At 38.0% G+C, this 20,451-nt stretch overlaps 1 protein-coding gene across 3 annotated transcripts in view; it reads right to left on the bottom strand.

Annotated features, from left to right (window-relative positions):
* PHKB (phosphorylase kinase regulatory subunit beta) overlaps positions 2,470-20,451 on the bottom strand; it is a 240,225-nt gene continuing 222,243 nt past the window's right edge. For all 3 annotated transcript variants that reach the window (NM_001363837.1, NM_001031835.3, NM_000293.3), the window contains 5 exons: positions 14,818-14,952; positions 10,486-10,615; positions 7,505-7,612; positions 5,405-5,545; positions 2,470-4,764 (listed from right to left, as the gene is read on the bottom strand). In NM_001363837.1, the coding sequence (NP_001350766.1) occupies positions 4,627-4,764; positions 5,405-5,545; positions 7,505-7,612; positions 10,486-10,615; positions 14,818-14,952 (652 nt within the window). In that variant the 3' untranslated portion in view covers positions 2,470-4,626. The remainder of the gene's footprint in view (positions 4,765-5,404; positions 5,546-7,504; positions 7,613-10,485; positions 10,616-14,817; positions 14,953-20,451) is intronic.

The following is a 20,451-nucleotide window of genomic DNA, read 5'->3' as shown; positions in this document are numbered from 1 at the left end:
TTCTTTGGGTATATACCCAGTAATGGGATTGCTGGGTCAAATGGTATTTCTGGTTCTAGGTCTTTGAGGAATCACATTGTCTTCCACAATGGCTGAACTAATTTACACCCCCACCAACAGTGCATAAGGGTTCCCTTTTCTTGATAATCTCGCCAGCATCTGTTTTTTCTTTTTAATAATCGTCATTCTGACTGGTGTGAGATGGTTATCTCATTGTGGTTTTGATTTGCATTTCTCTAATGATCAGTGATGTTGAGCTTTTTTTTATATGTTTATTGGCCGCACAAATGTCTTCTTTTGAGAAGTATCTGTTTATGTCCTTCGCACCCCCCCCACCTTTTTTTTTTTTTGAGACAGAGTCTCGCTCTGTCGTCCAGGCTGGAATGCAGTGGCACAATCTCGGCTCACTGCAAGCTCTGCCTCCTGGGTTCATGCCATTCTCCTGCCTCAGCCTCCCGAGTAGCTGGGACTACAGGCGCCCGCCACCACGCCTGGCTAATTTTTTGTATTTTTTAGTAGAGACGGGGTTTCACTGTGTTAGCCAGGATGGTCTTGATCTCCTGACCTCGTGATCCACCCGCCTCAGCTTCCCAAAGTGCTGGGATTACAGGCGTGAGCCACCGCACCCGGCCCCTTTGCCCCCATTTTAATGGGGTTGTTTTTTCTTGTAAATTTGTTTAAATTCCTTGTAGCTTCTGGATATTAGACCTTTGTCAGATGGATAGATTGCAAAAGTTTTCTCCTATTCTGGCTGTCCATTATGATGATAGTTTCTTTTGCTGTGCAGCAGCTCTTTAGTTTAATTATATCCCATTTGTCAATTTCTGCTTTTGCTGCAATTCCTTCTGATGTTTTCATCATGAAATCTTTGCCCATGCTTATGTCCTGTATGGCATTGCCTAGATTTTCTTCTAGAGTTGTTATAGTTTTGGGTTTTACATTTAAGTATTTAATCCATCTTGATTTAATTTTTGTGTAAGATACAAGGAAGAGGACCAATTTCAGTTTTCTGTATATGGCTAGCCAGTTTCCCCAGCACCATTTATTAAATAGGGAATCCTTTCCCCATTGCTTGTTTTTATCAGGTTTGTTGAAGATCAGATGGTTGTAGATGTGCAGTCTTATTTCTGAGATCTCTATTCTGTTCCATTGGTCTATGTGTCTGTTTTTGTACCAGGATCATACTGTTTTGGTTACTGTAGACTTGTAGTATAGTTTGAAGTCAAGTAGTGTGATGCCTCCAGTTTTGTTCTTTTTGCTTAGGATTGTCTTGGCTATATGTGCTCTTTTTTGGTTCCATATGAATTTTAAAGTAGGTTTTTTTCTGATTCTATGAAGAATGTCAATGATAGTTTAATGGGAATAGCATTGAATCTATTAATCACTTTGGGCAGTATGGCCATTTTCACAATATTGATTCTTCCTATCCTGAGCATGGAATGTTTTTCCATTTGTTTCTGTCCTCTCTTATTTCCTTGAGCAGTGGTTTGTAGTTCTCCTTGAAGAGGTCCTTCACTCCCCTTGTTAGCTGTATTCCTAGGTATTTTATTCTCTTTGTAGCAATTGTGAATGGGAGTTCATTCATGATTTGGCCCTCTGCTTGTCTATTGTTGGTGTATAGGAATGCCTGTGATTTCTGCACATTGATTTTGTATCCTGAGACTTTGTTGAAGTTGCTTATCAGCTTAAGAAGCTTTTGGGCTGAGATGACGATGAGGTTTTCTAGATATAGGCTCATGTCACCTGCAAACAGACACAGTCTGACTTCCTCTCTTCCTATATGAATACCCTTTATTTCTTTCTCTTGCCTGATTTCCCTGGCCAGAACTTCCAGTATTATGTTGAATAGGAGTGGTGAGAGACGGCATCCTTGTCTAGTGCCAGTTTTCAATGGGAATGCTTCCAGCTTTTGCCCATTCAGTATGATATTGGCTGTGGGTTTGTCATAAATGGCTCTTATTTTTTTGAATATATTCCATCAATACCTAGTTTATCAAGAGTTTTTAGCATGAAGGGGTGTTGAATTTTATCGAAGGCCTTTTTTGCATCTATTGAGATAATCATGTGGTTTTCATCATTGATTGTTTCCCCATTTTAATTTTTAAAAATTGAAATATGATGTTTTCAGGCTTAAATAACAGCAGAAAATCTGGAAAACATCCTGTTTCTTAAAATGATGCTCTGAAAATGTAGTTGAACTTGATATTCAGTCAGGAGTTTCCAACAGACGTTGCTTGTACAATAAATTTACGCAGTGAATCTGCCATTGTGATAGAGGAGGCTTTAAATCAGATTTAAATCTTGTCATGCCTAAATAAATGTGCTAATATTTCCAGTCGGTCTCTAGTGCAGCTGTTAAAACATTTGGGCTCTGTAGACCAAATGAGACTTCTAAATTTCATATGAGTTCTGTGTTCTAATTCTTATTATTTTTTGCTTTTCTAATAAGAAAACAGGCATTGGCTTTTGTAAAGGTGAATATCAAGATTTACTGATTCTAAATATAACTTTCAGAACAATAAATTTTGAATCTCAAAGCATGAAGTCAATACGTGTCACAGATTCTGAATGCTTTCAGGAGTAGCACAGGAAAACTTCAGAATTTTGCATATGTAACATTTAAGCAGGAAGCTAACACTCAGAAAACACATTTGCAAGTAATGTTTGATTTCAACTAGGATAGCAGTTTTCTGGTAACTTTGCTCAGCTAATCAGATTTTTTAAAAAAATTCTTAAAACTACAACACAGTTTACTTTCGTAAAAATTTCGGCAAACAAAAATTTTAAGTCTTTTGTTTCCCTTTCTTTAATTTCCAGTTTCTCCAGTTATGAAGTGTCAGCTCTCAATTCCCTCTCCATGGACTTCATGCTTACGTTTTTTTCAGGCATTAGTTTTACAAATTAGCTTCACCCTTCACGACTATCTTTTCATAAACTCTCTTAACATATTGAGTCAAGTAGTTTAATTCTATTCTTTGTCAATCCCCCTCCTTAGTTCTTTAGGGCCCAACTGTGTCTCATTCATTTCAATTTTGCCAACTAATATCCATACAATTTCTTATGCAAGATCTCGGCACTGTACCTCAATGTTATGAGAAATGTGACTGACAGCAGATTTTTCCATGTGCTCACACATCCATTCATTTGATATCGATTGACTCAATACTGAAGCCACTCATCCTTTCTTACATCCTTTCAAAACACTACAAATAAGCTGCATTTTTTATGTGACAAATCTATCTTCTCAGGTGAAACTCCAGTAAGATTGATCAGAAAAACAACTCTCTTTGGGGCAAGGGCTCAAACTCATGGGCCTTTTTTTTTTCTATTTAGGAAAGAAATAAAATTTAAATGTTTAATCTACTTTCTACTTTCATTAAAGTTTAAGTAAACTGGGCAACTAAATGTGTATAATGGTAGGTACCACAGATTCTCTTCCATTCTACCTCTAAATCAATTAAATGAAAACACTCGGGAGTTTGAAGCTCAATCTTGTGAACCTAGGAACAAAAAATGTCCAGATATGTTCATTAATTCAGAAATAAAATTTAATGACCCTTAATGTTGTTTTTACTAGTAGAACGTAGGTTAACAGTCCTTAAATTTAACATATTTTTTTCTTTTTCTTTTTTTTTTTTTTTTTTGAGATGGAGTCTCGCTCTGTCACCCAGGCTGGTGTGCAGTGGCAGGATTTCAGCTCACTGCAACCTCCGTCTCCTGGTTCAAGCAATTCTCATGCCTCAGCCTCCTCAGTAGCTGGGTTTAAAGGCATGCACCATCATGCCTGGCTAATTTTTGTATTTTTAGTAGAGACAGGGTTTTCACCATGTTGGCTGGGCTGGTCTTGAACTCCTAACCTCAAGTGATCCACCTGCCTCAGCCTCCCGAAGTGCTAAGATTTCAGGTGTGAGCTACTGTGCTGAGCCTAAATTTAACATATTTTTGAACAATCATAGACATGTCCTATTTTTAGCAGGAGCTCAAAGAAAATGTTTGATAAGGTACAGATTTATTATATTTTAGTCCAACCCCTATATTTAGCAAATACAAAACCACAGTCATGTTTACAATGTAAAAACTGTAGAATAGCTCTGTATACTAAAATATTATTAATAATGCAGTTTTTGAGAACCAAAATATCAGCTGGCTGACTTTGCTTTTATGATGTATATTAACATCTTTTAGCATGACAATACCACTAAGAGAAGTTCACCATTCTTTCAGTATCTTTTGATTTCCAGTATGCATTACTAGTTGGCAAATTTATTTTAATGGCAGTATGGTAAGAATTCAGTCCAAAGAGCAAAGATTCATTTTGATGAACTATTTGATCATACAACATGCAGCGGCAAATTTTCAATTCATAAACTATTTTTATCACTCAGTGAGGATTACTATTATAGTTGGCATAATCATGAGAACTTTTTCCTGCTTGATTAAAAGCATTTACCATTACCGTTAGATTGGCTATGACATGCAAGAGGTCCATAACCCCGCCAAGGATGTGGCATTCACCTCCCCAGCATGCTCAGTTCGTATATTAATGGCTGCCTTGATTAAGCTTGAACATGAAACACAACACACTTCAGAACATGTGTCTCAACAGAGCTTCCTACACCTTCCCCACTAGCTAATCAGACACGGGTCATCATTGTTTGGCTTGACTTCTCCTTCCAGCAGCAGATTCATCACCGCCTTTGTCAAATAGCTGCATGTTCCTCTTTTTCCCAGGGGAGGAGTGTTGTAAAAGGAAGTCATGTCATCCTACAAAGGAAAACAGTAGGCAAGGCATTCGATCTTCTGTTTGTAAAGAGTTGACAGGTAAAATCTGTGTCAGCTTAGGGGGAAAAATAAATTCACATAAAGATTTCCTTATGGAAAATATGAGATTCCTGAGCTTTTCTTTCATTTTCCTGAGGTGTATATAAAACAAAGACAGATATTTTTAGTATTCTCTCCTTTGTTGATAATTTTTATTTACTTAGAGAACCTCTTTACAGTTGAACATAAAATATTAAACAGAGAACCTGGAAGGGCCTATATTAGGCAGTACGCAGCACCAACGTAGCCTGTCACTGCATTCTATTGTCCCCAGAATTTAATTTTATAGCCTTCTGGAGTCTATGCCTCCTCTCTGATAAAACATTTTTATGCTAACCATATAAAGGAAATTTATCTCTTTCTAGATCTCTTTTTTGTCAGAACTTCACAGCTGAACTGACTAGTAATTAACTGAAAAGTAACATTAATTCCTCGAAAAAGGCAGACTGCCCCTCAAGTATCCTATTTTGCACCTGTGAATCTGTTTTATAAAGTAAATGAAAAGAGATTAGGGATATTTTAAAGAATTGAGACAATGAAAAAATTCTCAAAAAAAAAAAAAAAAAAAAAGCTGTGTACTTACTTGTTTTTCAATTTCCTTTAGCCGACTCTGATCTTTTTGAAATTCATTAAATGCTTCTTTGACCAGTCTGTCTAGATCTACTTTGTCTTGAAATTCTAGCTCGGGGTTTCTTTCCAGTACAATGGATACAACCATAAGTAACTAGAAGAGACAGACATTGAAAGCCAACTATATGAACCATAATAGTGACATGTTTTCACCCTTTGATCAGATGGATGGGTGATCCAAAGGATATTCTATATGATGAGGGGCTCAAGGATCACCTATGGAAGGAATCTTCCTAATTTTGCAAGTTATTTGCATAAATTCTGTTTGGAAAGTGCACCTTTTTTTTCATTGTGTGTATCCCTAGAAATGTTTTTTCATCAGTTAAATAAAACCGTTAACTTAGAAAAATGACTTTCCTAACCCATCATGTACATAATACATGATACCCTATTCACCCAAAGTGTCTGAACTCTTTCTAGGCCTTTGGGTGTCAATCCTTGTTGGCAAGACACCAAAACACTGTCTGTGGAGAGACGGGTCAGGGACCAAAGCCAGAGAAGCCAGGCAGGTTCAATGGAGACTCTGGACCCAGGTTCAGGATCAAACGACCTGGAGCCCAGGACCCAAATGAGTATAAGTCTGTGATGCCACAGTAGTTTCTCAAGGGATGGCCATGTTTTAAAAAAATATGTTTAACTCTGACCCCTGTGACAAAAGTCCTATTTGGTCTGTATAAACTATCTTAGTTTAATGAATCACCCTATTGCTTGGCCATCACATACACCTATCCTAAGTGGTAATGTTCATTTTAGATGCTAAATTCCTATAAGCAAAAATAATATCTGCATATGCAATAATTGGTAAAGGCTCTCTGATGATGTTTATGGCTCCTAATTTGTACACTGAACAGGAAACACGCCTCATAGTTCCCAATTTTGGATTCTTATTGACTGTATTTTATCTCGATGCTTCAAAAACAGAACCTGAAAGAACCAAAGGAAACACAGTAAAATCCAGGGGTCACAATGTGGGAAACCTTAGGGCAGGCCTTTAGCCATGAGAATATGAAGTTTTGCTGTAGGTCTAAAGGAAAGTGTCTTCTGCAAAGGGAATGACTTCACTGTGGTCAACAAGAAGGATCTCTATGTCTACTATATGTCCCAGATGCTGGGTACTAGACATGGAAGGCATTCACCTGCCTAATAACCCCGTCTTTTCACGACCCAGTCTGCCTCATGCTGTGAAAATGATTGGCTGATACTATTCCACATCCTGGGACATCAAAGAGGAGGCTAAATCTACTCAGCTCTGACTGCAGCTCCAGACATGCTAGATTTTAGGAGGTGCCATGTCCAGGTTGGCAGTCACACAGAGCTTCCGTAGCAATAAGACATATTATCTACCCTTGAGAAACACAAAAGTCGGATGGATACATGCCCAGGGAAAGAGACAAAGTGCGGATAAGCTAAATATTAAACTCATCAATTGGTGGCTTCTCTATGTATTTGGGGTGATGTTTAACATGACAAAAGGACACATGTGTTCTGTTAATTTTACATGTAACTTTATACAGGGCAGTGATACACCATGCAATGACATGTCTTCTCTGCACATAGAGATGTCTAGAAAGATGTCCCTCAAAATATTAACAGCAATGATCTCTTGCTAGTGAGTGTGGGGGAAACTTATATTCTTTTCTATAATTTTCTAAACTGCTGAAACTTTCTACAATAGTTGTGCTTATTTCTGTGAATAGAAAAGAAAGTGAATAGAAAAAGGTCACTTCCTGTACTTTTATGATGTGGCTGATACACTTGATGCTAAGGGGTGATTGTGTGGCTGAAAAGCAGGGGTCGGTTCTCCCTTCCTGGAGGAGCCTGAGGTGTCTGAATTGCTCGTGTGCCTTGCCTTGGGTCAGGGGTGGCCATCTTCTTGAGGACTCGGCTGGGAGAGATCAAGGTTCCGGAAAGAATAGGGTTCTGGGTCTCACAGGAGAGATCGGGGTACTGGAAAGAATAGGATTCTGGGTCTCATAGGCAGTTTCCCTTATACTAGTTTTCACGGAGCAGAGAGAAGGCATTTATTCAGCAATCTTCATTTCTTACTACTCACCTCTACAACGATCTGTCTGTACTGTGGCTGGTCAATATTTCCCAACGTGTCTTCAACAAGGAGAGAGAAATTCATCTCATACATGGTCATATCTGACAGGGTTGGTTGCTGAAAAAAATAACTCCACATTAACATGCTGAACCGTTATGCTCTGGTTCTCATTTAATAGAAGAATTTCATTTTCTAATCATTAATAGTTTTCAGTTTTTATAAAACCTTGGAGAACATTTTCAGCTACACAACTGGATTTTATATATGTCAAACTACTAAAGCCAACCAGCTGACTATTGTGATAAATTAAACCTCCCATTTTTAGTAGTTACCTTCACTATATTAATTTTTTGAGAAAAAGGACTATGTTAGAAGGCCACTTTAATACACAAAAGGAATAGCCAAACACTGAGACAACAAATAGTGTACATATTGCTTTCAGAATTTACACGAGAAGTTATGCTTGCTGTCAGGCTCCCGCACAGAAGTCACCTGCTAATGAATTTACATCATTTCTGTGGCAGCTCCTTTCTGAGCTGGCAGCATAAAAATGCATACAAACAAGCAAAAACAATATTATGTGCAGAACTGGGAAGGAAACAGGAAAAAAGCGACGCTAAAAGAATTTCCTCTACTCTGCCCTTTATCTTTCATTTAAAACAAGAATACTGTGTAGTTTTCCATTCATTTCTTCACAATCCAAATGAAAGCAGAAAATAAACTAAAATTAAAATCCAAATCTGGGCATGGGGAATATTCCTCAGAGGATGGAAGGGAAGGCTCTGAACATTAGGCTTGTATGGTGGAAGGCAGATGGGGTGACTAGATCATTACCAGAGAGGCAGAAATGATGAGACATACTTGTTTTCACCTCAGTGATAGTTTACAGTGAACTCAATCAGGTTCAGAACCATGTCTATCTACTTACCACTCAAAATGGGACCCAATGTCCTCTTTCAATCAAGTGACAGCAAAGTTGTTCAGCCTGGTATAATAATGCCTTAGTCTATATTCAATAGATATTCAATACAACTAACTATTGTATTTCATAGTCAATATAATCCAACATATTATTAATGTTTACAGATAGTACCTAATTTGGGGAAAATAAAGCCCCATTGCTAAACACAGTTATAATTGGCTAGATCTCTAGCAATGGGCTTAACGGGGTTACAGAAGGAAAGGAAGACCCTTTCTTGGTTTCACATTAATTTTTTCTTAATATATCTCATTAAAAAAGTCAACCTAGCTACTGTGCAACTACAGAAGAGATACCAAGCTTGCCTTATTTCCTACTCTTCTGAAAGGACTTAGGGTAAGTAGTGTAGCAGAGAAGTTAAGAGAAAAGGCTCAGCAGCTACACTGCCAGGGGTCACATCCTGGGGCAGCTACTTACTAGATGTGTGACCTTGAGGAAATCATTTATCTGTGTTTGTGTCCTCTTCTGTCAAACTGGAATACTAATAACAAAGCATCTGCCTCAAAAAATTGTCTAACGGATTAAATGAGCACTTAGAAAAGTGCTTGGTGCATAAAAATACTTAACATGTATTTATTGTCTTATTGTTATTTTTAGCAAAGAGAGGATATTAGCAAAGCAAGGATACTACATGTTAAGTGGCCCAGACTGCCAGACAATTAAATGAAAATCTGGTAAGTATTAGTGGGGGCTGAGAAAGAAGCTAACAAGTGGTTGTGAGCGTGCACTGCCCAGGTAGGCAGACAGGAGGCCTTGCCAGAGGGTTTGAACTCCAGCAACGAGGCGCTGCTCTCTGCTCTCAAGAGATGGTGCTGCTCTTCAACAGTAATCATAGGGCACCCAGGAGAGGGCTGGGCCCTGCACTGACAGTCAAATGAAACTACTTGCAGTCTGTGAACAGTATAAATACTTTTTAAAAGTTTTTATGCATTTTTTTTAATAAGTAATATATTCACAGCATTCAGACTTTGAAAGGTTTAAAAGGGTTCCAGGGAAGAGCCCACACCATCCTCCCACTCACACAGTTCCTTTTACCAAAGACTAAGAAAAGAATACTACCAATTTCCTATGGGTCCTTACAGAGACACTCTTAGGTAGATACAAGCAAAATGAGTGTGGGTCTGTGCCTTTGAGAATACTTTATTTGTATAAAGAACTACATCAAAATTTATTTGGTTGAGATTTCAACACTAAAAACAATTACAGTACTCTATTTCCAAAAGGCTAATCCTTCTCTTTTGTGTATAAGTAGAATGACTTAGATGCCAGGATTAAATAATCACATCAAAGAAGCAGGCCAGTGTATATCACATGGGAAACCATCAGAAGGAGAGGGCACTAACTCACTTGGACCACAGGTAAGGTACACCTGGAGTGAAGTAAGTGATTGTCTGTCCAATGACCTAAAAAGTTACTGCATTTTCCACATTCAACACAATTCCTAAGTGGTGATTTCCTCATCCACAGCACTACTAGGCCCCATTGTTTCTTAGGTCTGCTCTGGTTCTGTCTTTCCAATGCATGCTTTACTGTTTGTGAGGCCCCCCAGCACTGACCCACCACCACTTGGGGGTAGTGAAGGGGTACCCACACTTAAAGTAAAGCCAATATAGGAAACTCTAAGCTGGTAAGTAAACAAAGGAAGGACAGCTTGCTCAACAAGAGGTTTGGCTATGTGGTTTTTAAAAAGGGAATATCCTCAAAATATCTAAAATATGACAATACCAACAATTTTTTTTATTAAATATGACTTCCAGCAATATAGCCATTTGGTAAAGTGAGCCTTTTCTGCCTACAGGGACACTAAATTTGAAAAATAAAAGTAACTCAGATTGGGGAAAAAAATTTTCAATCCAATTGATTAGATGTCTTATTTTCTAGTATTTCATTCCTTCTTTGAAAATACTCTTAGAACGCTGAAAAGGAGAAAAGTTATTTGCAGTGCAAGAGGAAAGGATTCACTACCCTTTGCGAAGTCTCCTTTCTTTATGTGAACATGGTGGGGCTTTACCTGAGGCAAATGCTTCCCAGCAACAATGATCCCATTGGGCGTGCGCTCCAGAATCTGCCACACTCGGTCATAGAACCCGGTGGGAGTTCTATTCAAAGACCCATCGATCTGACGCCTGTTCAGCCAACATCTGTAACAAAAGGCAAATGTCTCAGAGTTGAAGAACAAGCTTGTTCTGGTAGACAGCAGGGCTTTCAATATGAACTAATTGTTCTGATAGGGTAAGAAATAAAAGCCAAAGCCCATCAATGATGCATATCTCCGTGTGTTACAGAGGCTAGTAAATATTTCATAATGAAAACAGGGCTGGCAGGACAGGAGGAAGTCTCCAAGATTCTAAAAAATTTAACAGACAAAATGTTATCCTGTAAGTAAGCTATGAATTGCTTACTACATGCTCAAATGATTTTCAAGTATACAGAGCAGCTCCCTTTAAAAACGCAGCAGCTGTGAATTTCATAATAACTTGATGTTGTTTTCACATATAATAAAATGTAAGCTCCATGAAGGCATGGAAATCATATAATTTGATCAGTCCTATACACCTCTCCCAGAAAGGTGCTTAGTAAACACTTAAAAAGTGAATGAATAAATGATGTTCAAAAAAGCATTTTATATAGAATAAAATTACCTTATTTTAAACCTTATAGAAGTTTGCTATTTAGACATAGCTAAAGTTCTCTTGCTGAAAAAAGATATAAAATCTTACATTATAATAACAGAATGTAGTGATACACCAAAATTTTAGATCTTTTATTTTCATGCATTAAGCACTTAAGTATTAAATTTTAAAGATACAATACATCATTCACAAACTGCTAAAAATATTCTTGCAAAAGTTGAAGAAAGGACAGATACATTTATTTATTTATTTATTTATTTATTTATTTATTTGACAGGGTCTTGCTGTGTCACCCAGGCTGGAGTGCAATGGCTCGATCATAGCTCACTGCAACCTCTAACTCCTGGGCTCAAGCGATCCTCCCACCTCAGCCTTTCCAGTGGCTAAGATTACAGACATGCACTACCATGTCTGGTTAATTTTTAAATTTTTTGTTGAGATGGGGTCTGGCTATGTTGTCCAGGCTGGTCTTGAGCTCCTGGCCTCAAGTAATCCTCCTGCCTTGGCCTCCCAAAGTGCTGGGATTATAGGCATGAACCACGGCACACAGCCCAGATACACGTTTTTTACACTTAGTATTTTAAAAGACAGCAGAGTGAAATGTATACTCAATTACAAGGGAAATATGTCATGACCAACACTATTTCTAGGTATGACAATAGCTATGCAGGATACAGTAAACAGAAAAAGACACGTTTGCGCTGGAGAAAGAGGACCAATGAAAATTTATCACTACATAGGTAAGAGGGGCATCTATTTTTGGATACATAAAATTTCTTTTAATAGGCACGGGCTTGCATTGCTGGCTTTAGTGTTTCACCAAAGTGACAAAGCTCAAACGTCTAAGGGTTCCTTGGTGATGTTTTACTTTAGATAACTGGATACCCCACTGCCTGCATTTTATTTTCCCCTCATTCCCTTTGTTTGGCAATTAAAAAATATGTTTTTGGAGTTATATGAAGTTATGATTAATACTTTAAAAAGGAGATACTTCGTAGGACAACAGAAAAAGTAGAAACATGAGAATACTCATAATGGAGGTAGAAAATTATTTTGAAAGATCCTTTATTTTTTGTCTTTTCATTTTGAAAAATTTCAGACTTACAGAAAAGTCATGAATATAAACCATAAAGTTCCTGTATACTCTTTACTTAACTTCCCTTTTCCATTTTTTTTTTTTTTTGAGACAGGATCTGACTCTATCACTGAGGCTGGAGTGCAGTGGTGCAATCTCGACTCTGCAGCCTCAGCTTACTGGGTTCAGGTGATCCTCCCATGTCGGCCTCCTGAGTAGCTGGAACTACAGGCATGTGCCGCCACATCCAGCTAATTTTTGTGTTTTTTGTAGAGATGGGGTCTTGCCATGTTGCCCAGCCTGGTCTCAAACTCCTGGGCTCAAGCAATCTGCCTGCTTCAGCCTCCCAAATTGTTGGGATCACAGGTGTGAGCCATCGTGCCTGGCCTTCCTCTACTCTTGTTATCTTACATAACTATAGTATAAAACCAGGGAGTAAACAATGATACAATACTATTAATTAATCTATGGATCTAATTCAAATTTTGTCAATTTTACCACTAATATTCTTGTTTTGATCCAGAATCCAATCCAGAATTGGTGTTTAGTTTCCGTGTCTCCTGAGGCTCCTCTAGCAGTTTCTTGGTTGTCCTTTATCTTTCATAACCTTCACACTTTAGAAATGTCAGTTATTTTGTAAGATGTACCTCAATTTGGGTTGGTCTGATGTTTCCTGATGAATAGACTGAGATTATGCATTTTTGGCAAGAGTATCTAGAAGTGATGTTGTGCACTTTTCTTATTTATTATTTTTATAGAGATGGGGTCTCAGAATGTTGCCCAGGCTAGTCTCAAACTCGTGGACTCAAAGGACGCTCCTGCTCCAGCCTCCCAAAGTGCTAGGATCACAAGCTTGAGCCACCATGCCCGGCCCATCATGCCCTTTTCAATGCATCATATCAGGGGATATATGATTTTGATGTGTCTTATTACTGGCGATGTTCACCTTAATCTTTTGGTTAAGGTAGAGTCAGCTGGGTTTCTCCACTGTAAAATCACTATTTTTTCCTTTACAATTTAAGCATCTTGAGTGGAAACACATTGGAATGATGAAACTCTCCATTTTTCATCATACTTCCATGCAATGATGGTTTTTGCCGGCAACAATGGTAACTATTGTATTTGTCTATTTTTGTCATCCTATCTACACTTATAATTGGAATTCTATTATAAGAAAGGTCTCTTCACTCCCATTTGTCTATTTATATTAGCATAGACTCATGGGTATGTAAGAATGTTTCTTCCCATTTTCCTTTGGGATTTTGGTTGTCTGTCCTTCAATTTTTAAGAATTCTTGGTTATAAGCTCTTTGTGGCATATGTTTTGTTCCAGTTTCTCAGTTATCTTCTGACATTGGTTGTCTACTTTTTGCCATACAAAGTGTTGTTTTTAATTTTCATATAGTCTTATTAACTTTTTCTTTTGTTGTCCTTGGGTTGAGTCATTATTAGAAGGTCTTTCCCATACTAAGAGTAAAAAGGAATTTAACCATGTCTTCTTGTTTTCTATTATTTCATTTTTACATTTAGATTTCTAATCTATTTGGAGTGTATTCTTATGTGTGGTATAAACTACAGGTGTGATTATATCTTTTTGCAAATGGCTATCCAGTTGTCTCATCACTATTTAAAAAGTCCATCCTTGGCCTTTGTCACACATTAAATTTCCACATATACTTGGGGGTCTATTTCTGGACTTTCTATACTGTTCAACTCTTCTATTTGTCTGTTGTGCACCAATATCACACTGTTTTAATTACAGAGGCTTTATAGTATGTTTTAATGTCTAGCAGGGCAAGTCCTTCTTTTATGTTTTTCTGATTATTCTTATGTTTGTTTTTCCATATGAAGTTTTGTATTAACTTGTCTTAACCTCATAAAAACAGCTAGTTGAATGTTATTGGAATTGAATTATATTTACAACTGACATCTTTATAACATGAATGTTCCTATTTAAGAACGAGGATGCCTTTCCATTTATTCAAATTTCCTTTTGTGGAAGACAGCTTTTGTAAAAGGCCTAGGCAGATTTTTCTAGGCATATAACTATACCACTTTGGTAAATGCCAGGCACAAATGTACTCAATAAATACTTTCCTAAATACTTACATTAAAGCTATTTCTGTAATAAAAAAGTTCTTCAAGTCAACACAATCCACAAGTATTTGTTTTGTTCTTAGTGTAAGCTTAGCACAAGTCTAGGAAAGGGTTTAGCATTGAAGTCTATTTAGGGAGACAAAGTCACAGGCAACATATTTAAATAATGTTACCAAACCCAATCCTATCTGCCAAAATGCTGGGAGGAGATGGTGAGTGCCACAAAGGTTCAGAAAGGAAACTGACTTCAGAAAGTGGTATGAGGTGTTACATTTTGCACAGAATAATAAAAATGAAGAAATGCTTATAAACTATACTGGAAAAAAAGCATAAAATTCAAATCAATGCAAAATAATAATTGAAGACAGACATTTTGATTGGTCTTTCTGTTTACACTTTCCATCTAGTGGGGTGGCCTCTGACACTCTGTTGAATTTTACTTATTAATATCTTATCAATTTCATAGATATATCAAGCTAAAAATTATGATGTTATTGTAAATCCAGAGTATCATGTAGGTAACAAGGGGCCCTTATTACCTTCCATTCTGTTGAGGCTGCAGAATATCCAGCAGAAGCTGTTTAACTTCACTAGGTGACAGCTGATACAAGTCCAAGGCTGGCTTGTCTCCGCCACGGATCTGAAGTTCATACTCCATGGCATGGATGATCCACCTGAAACAAAACAGGGGAAGCATGAATCAATAACTCTTGAAATAAAATCACCTTCTGCTTCTCTCAGCAATGCCCTTAATAGCACTGACCCATTCAAAGGAGAATGAAGAAGAGGCCGTTTGAGTTTCCTGAACCGTTGATACAATTACTTCCATCAAGATTATGTGACATGATCAGACTCTTAAAAATGAGGCCTGCCCTTGCACAGGTGGTGAGGTTGTACAACATTAAAATAGGTAAGTACTTAGGTTCTTAGCAAGTGAGATTTTACCCATCCACTGTGGTATTATTCTGTACATAAACAGCTGCTACACTGTATTTTCTTAACACTAGATACATGCCAAAAAAAAAAAAAAAAAGGAAAGAGAGCTACAGAGAAACAATGCATTTCAAGAAATAGGCTGAGATATGCTATTATGTAAATGTTCCTTTCTCTGAAATCTCAAGCTTTTTGTTTTAAACCAATTTCCTTTACTTTGTAGTCATTCCTTTGGGGTGAGAGAAGACAGACAAGTACCTGTCTTTGAAATATAAGGACACAATTAGTTATAACTTAGTTATAGTTGTACATTAAAGATGTACTTTAACCAATAGGTTGCAGAAGAGCCAAAATATTTAATTATTTTATGTGTAAATAATTTTTTGAGGAGGTTTTAAAAAGCATTTTTGTAGATTCATCTCATTTCTTCCATTTACTATATTCTGAGGACAGAACTCAGAAAAACTAGTTATGAAAACCAAAGAAAACTCTGGAAATAATACTGTGCCTTAGGGAATGAGAAATTTACACACCATTAGGAAAAGCCAGGGAATTAGTTCACACAGCAGATTCCTATGCTTCATCCTTAAATCCTTCAGTGAACACTGCACAAAGAGAGGCAGTGCAACTGAGCATCTGGAAAGAATGCATCTTTATTCACCCATGCTGCCTTTCTCCCCCACGCCTTCTCTTTCTCTTCATACACTTCCTTGAAAGGCAGCCTACAAGGATATTGCAGGTACAGAGATGAAAATGTTAGGGTAGATGTATTCAAAAGATTGAAGTCCTTCTTTCTGCCAATGCTGGTTTGCAAAACAACAGTGATGCATCCTCATGGGATGACTAATGTCTCTCAATGTAGAGAACCGTAAGAAAAAATGCTAAGCCTTACCGGGTGTCAACCAGGCCTGATGGGCCAGGCCATAAGCCACAGGGTAACATGTATCAAGCTCTATGACAGTTCTAACCTCCACTGCCCTGAGCTCAGACAACTCTCAGCTCTTCCTACCTTCTCCCCTATTGTTTGTTGTTGCCATTTCTGGAAGTTGGGAGTTTAGTCTAGGGTAACACTGAGATGGATTATAAGGGCATGAGAGTTACACAAGGATGAAACATACTAATTTTTAGAAATCAATACTATTATTGTTGATACTATGGAATGAATATTTAATAGCTGCTCATTGGTAAGAGCAATAAAGATGAAGTATTTACAAACAACAAATGCCTGAAAGCTTCCTGTTATATACAACAACAGAACATGTAACAGAATTAAGATTTACCATTTATATTTCTCCTGTCAGTCAAAAAGAAAAACTGGACTACACCTATGTTACTGGCAAAGACTAGGCTTTCTTTACATCGTCCTCATTCTTATTGACTGTATTTAGCAAAAACGTTACACAAGCATAAAAGTAACAAGAACATAGTTCTTTTGGATGCTTTGACGTTAAAGCTGCTTATGAAATTAGCTATTACAGCAACATTTTAGTTACAATAAACTACTCAGTGGGCCTCTTCTTTAAAACGAAAAGTTATATTTTTATTTTATAGACCAGGCATAGAATTGTCTTCTACTTATTTTATTTATTTATTTTATTCATTTCTTTACTTAGATTTAAAACTTACATTTGAGGCAGCTTAGAATAACAGAAGGAATACTGAATTAAACATCGGAAGACCTGCCTGTTGGTCTCCTCAATAAGTCAATGGAATGAAAAGGAAAGTGGGATTTCCTGTTGTAGATGAAGTGATTTAAGAGACATAACCACTAATACCATGAGTCTTGTTTTATGTCATGATTCAAAAACAGACCAACTGTAAAAAGTCATTTCGGGGATAACCCAGAGAAATTTAAATAAGAACTGAGTATCTGGTGATATTTAAAAAAATTACTGCTAATTTTGGTGGGTATGATAATGGTATTGGGATTATTGAGATAATGTCCTTTTTTAGAGCTATATACTCACTAAAATACTCACAGGTAAAAGTTAAATGTCTGGGATTTGCTTCATAGTATACTATAGCAAAATAAAAGATAAAGCAAATATAGCAAATACAAATAGCTAAGCACTGCTTATACCCACTAAATAATGAGTACATGGGAATGTACCAAATAAGTCATTATATACTTAAAATTCTTCATAATGAAAAGCAAAGACAGACTTAAATACCAATTCTGTCACTTACCAACTGTGCCCCACTGGCAGATTATTTTTCAAATGGGAATACTACTATTGCTCATCGAACTTACTTTATGAAATTATTTTGAGGAACAAATAATGTCTATAAAAAGGCTCTGAAATGTTAAAGAGTCATAAAAATGTTAGTAAATTATTGTTATGTGATTTCTTAAACTCAGTTTAGAGGAAGGTAATGCAAATTTTTAATTCAAGTCTTGGAGTTACTTAAGCAAGTGTCACAGTCAATTAACTTCAGGAGGTATCTTCTAAAATAAATAACATTTTTATTTTTAAAAGGCTTACTTTTTAAACTCTGCCACTAACTTGAGTTATTAAAACTAAACATAGTTTATCACATTTATCTTTTAAAATCCCTAGTATCACGCACAAAGATAGCTGGAGACCTTAATGTTTTCCCTTAGACTTCCATTTACAAAATCTCAGCAGTTTTGTGGGCAAATTATTGACAACACTGTTCTCAAAAATCATGAAAGGAAGCAGGTTTTTCACTCATTCAAGCACAAATAAATACAATCTGTCATATTATTAAAATACATTTATTGGCTGGGTACGGTGGCTCATGCCGGTAATCCCAGCACTGTGGGAGGCTGAGGCAGCGGATCATGAGGTCAGGAGATTGAGACCATCCTGGCTAACACGGTGAAACCCTGTCTCCACTAAAAATACAAAAAATCAGCCAGGTGTGGTGGCAGGCGCCTGTAGTCCCAGCTACTCAGGAGGCTGAGGCAGGAGAATGGTGTGAACCCAGGAGGCGGAGCTTGCAGTGAGCCGAGATCACACCACTGCACTCCAGCCTGGGCAACAGAGTGAGACTCTGTCTCAAAAAAAAAAAAAAGAAAAAGAAAAAAAACCACATTTATTCATTAAAATTGTTGGTCAAACTAATCTTTTTATACCTTGGAATTCTTCAAATAAAAACAGCAAAACAGCCTTAGACATAAACTATAAAACTATTAATAGCAGTCAGAAATCTACAGAAAGTAAATTACCAAGGAGTAACACAGTTAAGAATATCAAAGACATTTTATCCATTTGTAGGACTACTAATAAAGAAGGACATAGGAAAATCAGGCTAATTATCCCTCATTCCCAATGACAAGGCCATAAAATCTGATTTGATAATTTTAGCACAAAAGCTTTCTTTTTTTTTCTTTTTGAGGAGGAGTCTCGCCCTGTCACCCAGGCTGGAGTGCAATGGCGTGATCTTGGCTCACCGCAACCTCCGGCTCCCAGGTTAAAGTGATTCTCCTGCCTAAGTCTCCTGAGTAGCTGGGATTACAGGCGTGCGCCACCACACCCAGCTAATTTTTGTATTTTTAGTACAGATGAAGTTTCGCCATGTTGGACAGGCTGGTCTTGAACTCCTAACCTCGTGATCCGCCCACCTCGGCCTCCCAAAGTGCTGGGATTACAGGCGTAAGCCACTGTGCCTGGCCAGTACAAAAGCATTTAAATACAAAATAGGGAAAGGAAAAGATGGATGGATGGATGGAAGGAAGGAAGGAAGGAAGGAACAAAGGGCAGAAGAAAGAAAATGTGGAAGGTCAAAATAATGAAGGTTATGGATGGCCCAGAGTCTTATACATTCAGTCTGTGTAAGAGCCAGAGATGCTCTACTCGCCAACAAGCAAATGAGAAGGTAGATACACACGACTGACCAAATCAACCTTCATATATATCCAGGTTTGACTTAAGGACAATGAATTCTTTGGGACTGCTGGAAAAGCACAAAAGGGAATGTTAGTATTCTTCAGACAGTTCTGGGAATAAGCTTATCCTTTTAAAAACACTCTTTTTTTTTTTTTTGAGACGGAGTCTTGCTCAGTCGCCCAGGCTGGAGCGCTGGAGTGTAGTGGCATGATCTCGGCTCACTGCAAGCTCTGCCTCCCGGGCTCACGCCATTCTCCTGCCTCAGCTTCCCGAGTAGCTGGGACTACAGGCGCCCGCTACTACGCCCAGCTAATTTTTTGTATTTTTTAGTAGAGACGGGGTTTCACTGTGTTAGCCAGGATGGGCTTGATTTCCTGACCTCGTGATCCGCCTACCTTGGCCTCCCAGAGTGCTGGGATTACAGGGGTGAGCCACCGCGCCCGGCTTAAAAACACTCTTGTTTGGAGGCTAGTAAGGATACAGTGTGTGTATTGGCATGTTTCTTTCCGATATACCCCAATTAAGGAGTACAATATGAAATAAAGTACATGGAAATCTGACAGCAGTGGTAAACCAGAACACCTGAAATTTTATTTTATTTTTTTTGAGACACGGTCTTACTTGTCACCCAGGGTGGAGTGCAGCTGTTGTGATCTTGGCTTACTGCAATGTCCACCTCAAGCAATCCTCCCACCTCAGCCTCCCGAGTAACTGGGACTACAGGCAGGCACCGCTACACCCAGCTAATTTTTAATTTTTTTGTAGAGAAGGGGTTTTGCCATGTTGCCCAACTGGTCTCAAACTCCTGGGCTCAAGTGATTCATCCACCTTGGCCCCTCAAAGTGCTGGGATTACAAGTATAAGCCACTGCACCTGACCAGCTGAAATTTTCTGGAAAAAAAAAAAAAGCCATACAGAATAGAACTGATCCTTGGAAAAAATAATTTTTTTTAAATAATCATTTTAAGATTTCAAGATAAGACAAGGATCTGCTAAGTTTGCTGTTAAACAAATGATTGGAGGTGGAGCCAAGATGGCCGAATAGGAACAGCTCCGGTCTACAGTTCCCAGCGTGAGCGATGCAGAAGATGGGTGATTTCTGCATTTCCATCTGAGGTACTGGGTTCATCTCCCTAGGGAGTGCCAAACAGTGGGTGCAGGACAGTGGGTGAAGTGCACCGTGCACGAGCCGAAGCAGGGCGAGGCATTGCCTCACTTGAGAAGCACAAGGGGTCAGGGAGTTCCCTTTCCTAGTCAAAGAAAGGGGTGACAGACAGCACCTGGAAAATCGGGTCACTCCCACCCTAATACTGCGCTTTTCCAATGGGCTTAAAAAACGGCACACCAGGAGATTATATCCCACACCTGGCTCGGAGGGTCCTATGGCCA

Source organism: Homo sapiens, chromosome 16 (genome assembly GCF_000001405.40).
Source record: "Homo sapiens chromosome 16, GRCh38.p14 Primary Assembly".
Taxonomy (NCBI): Eukaryota; Metazoa; Chordata; class Mammalia; order Primates; family Hominidae; genus Homo; species Homo sapiens.
Note: the sequence above shows the minus strand (reverse complement) of the source record. Positions and strands in the feature narration are given on the sequence as shown.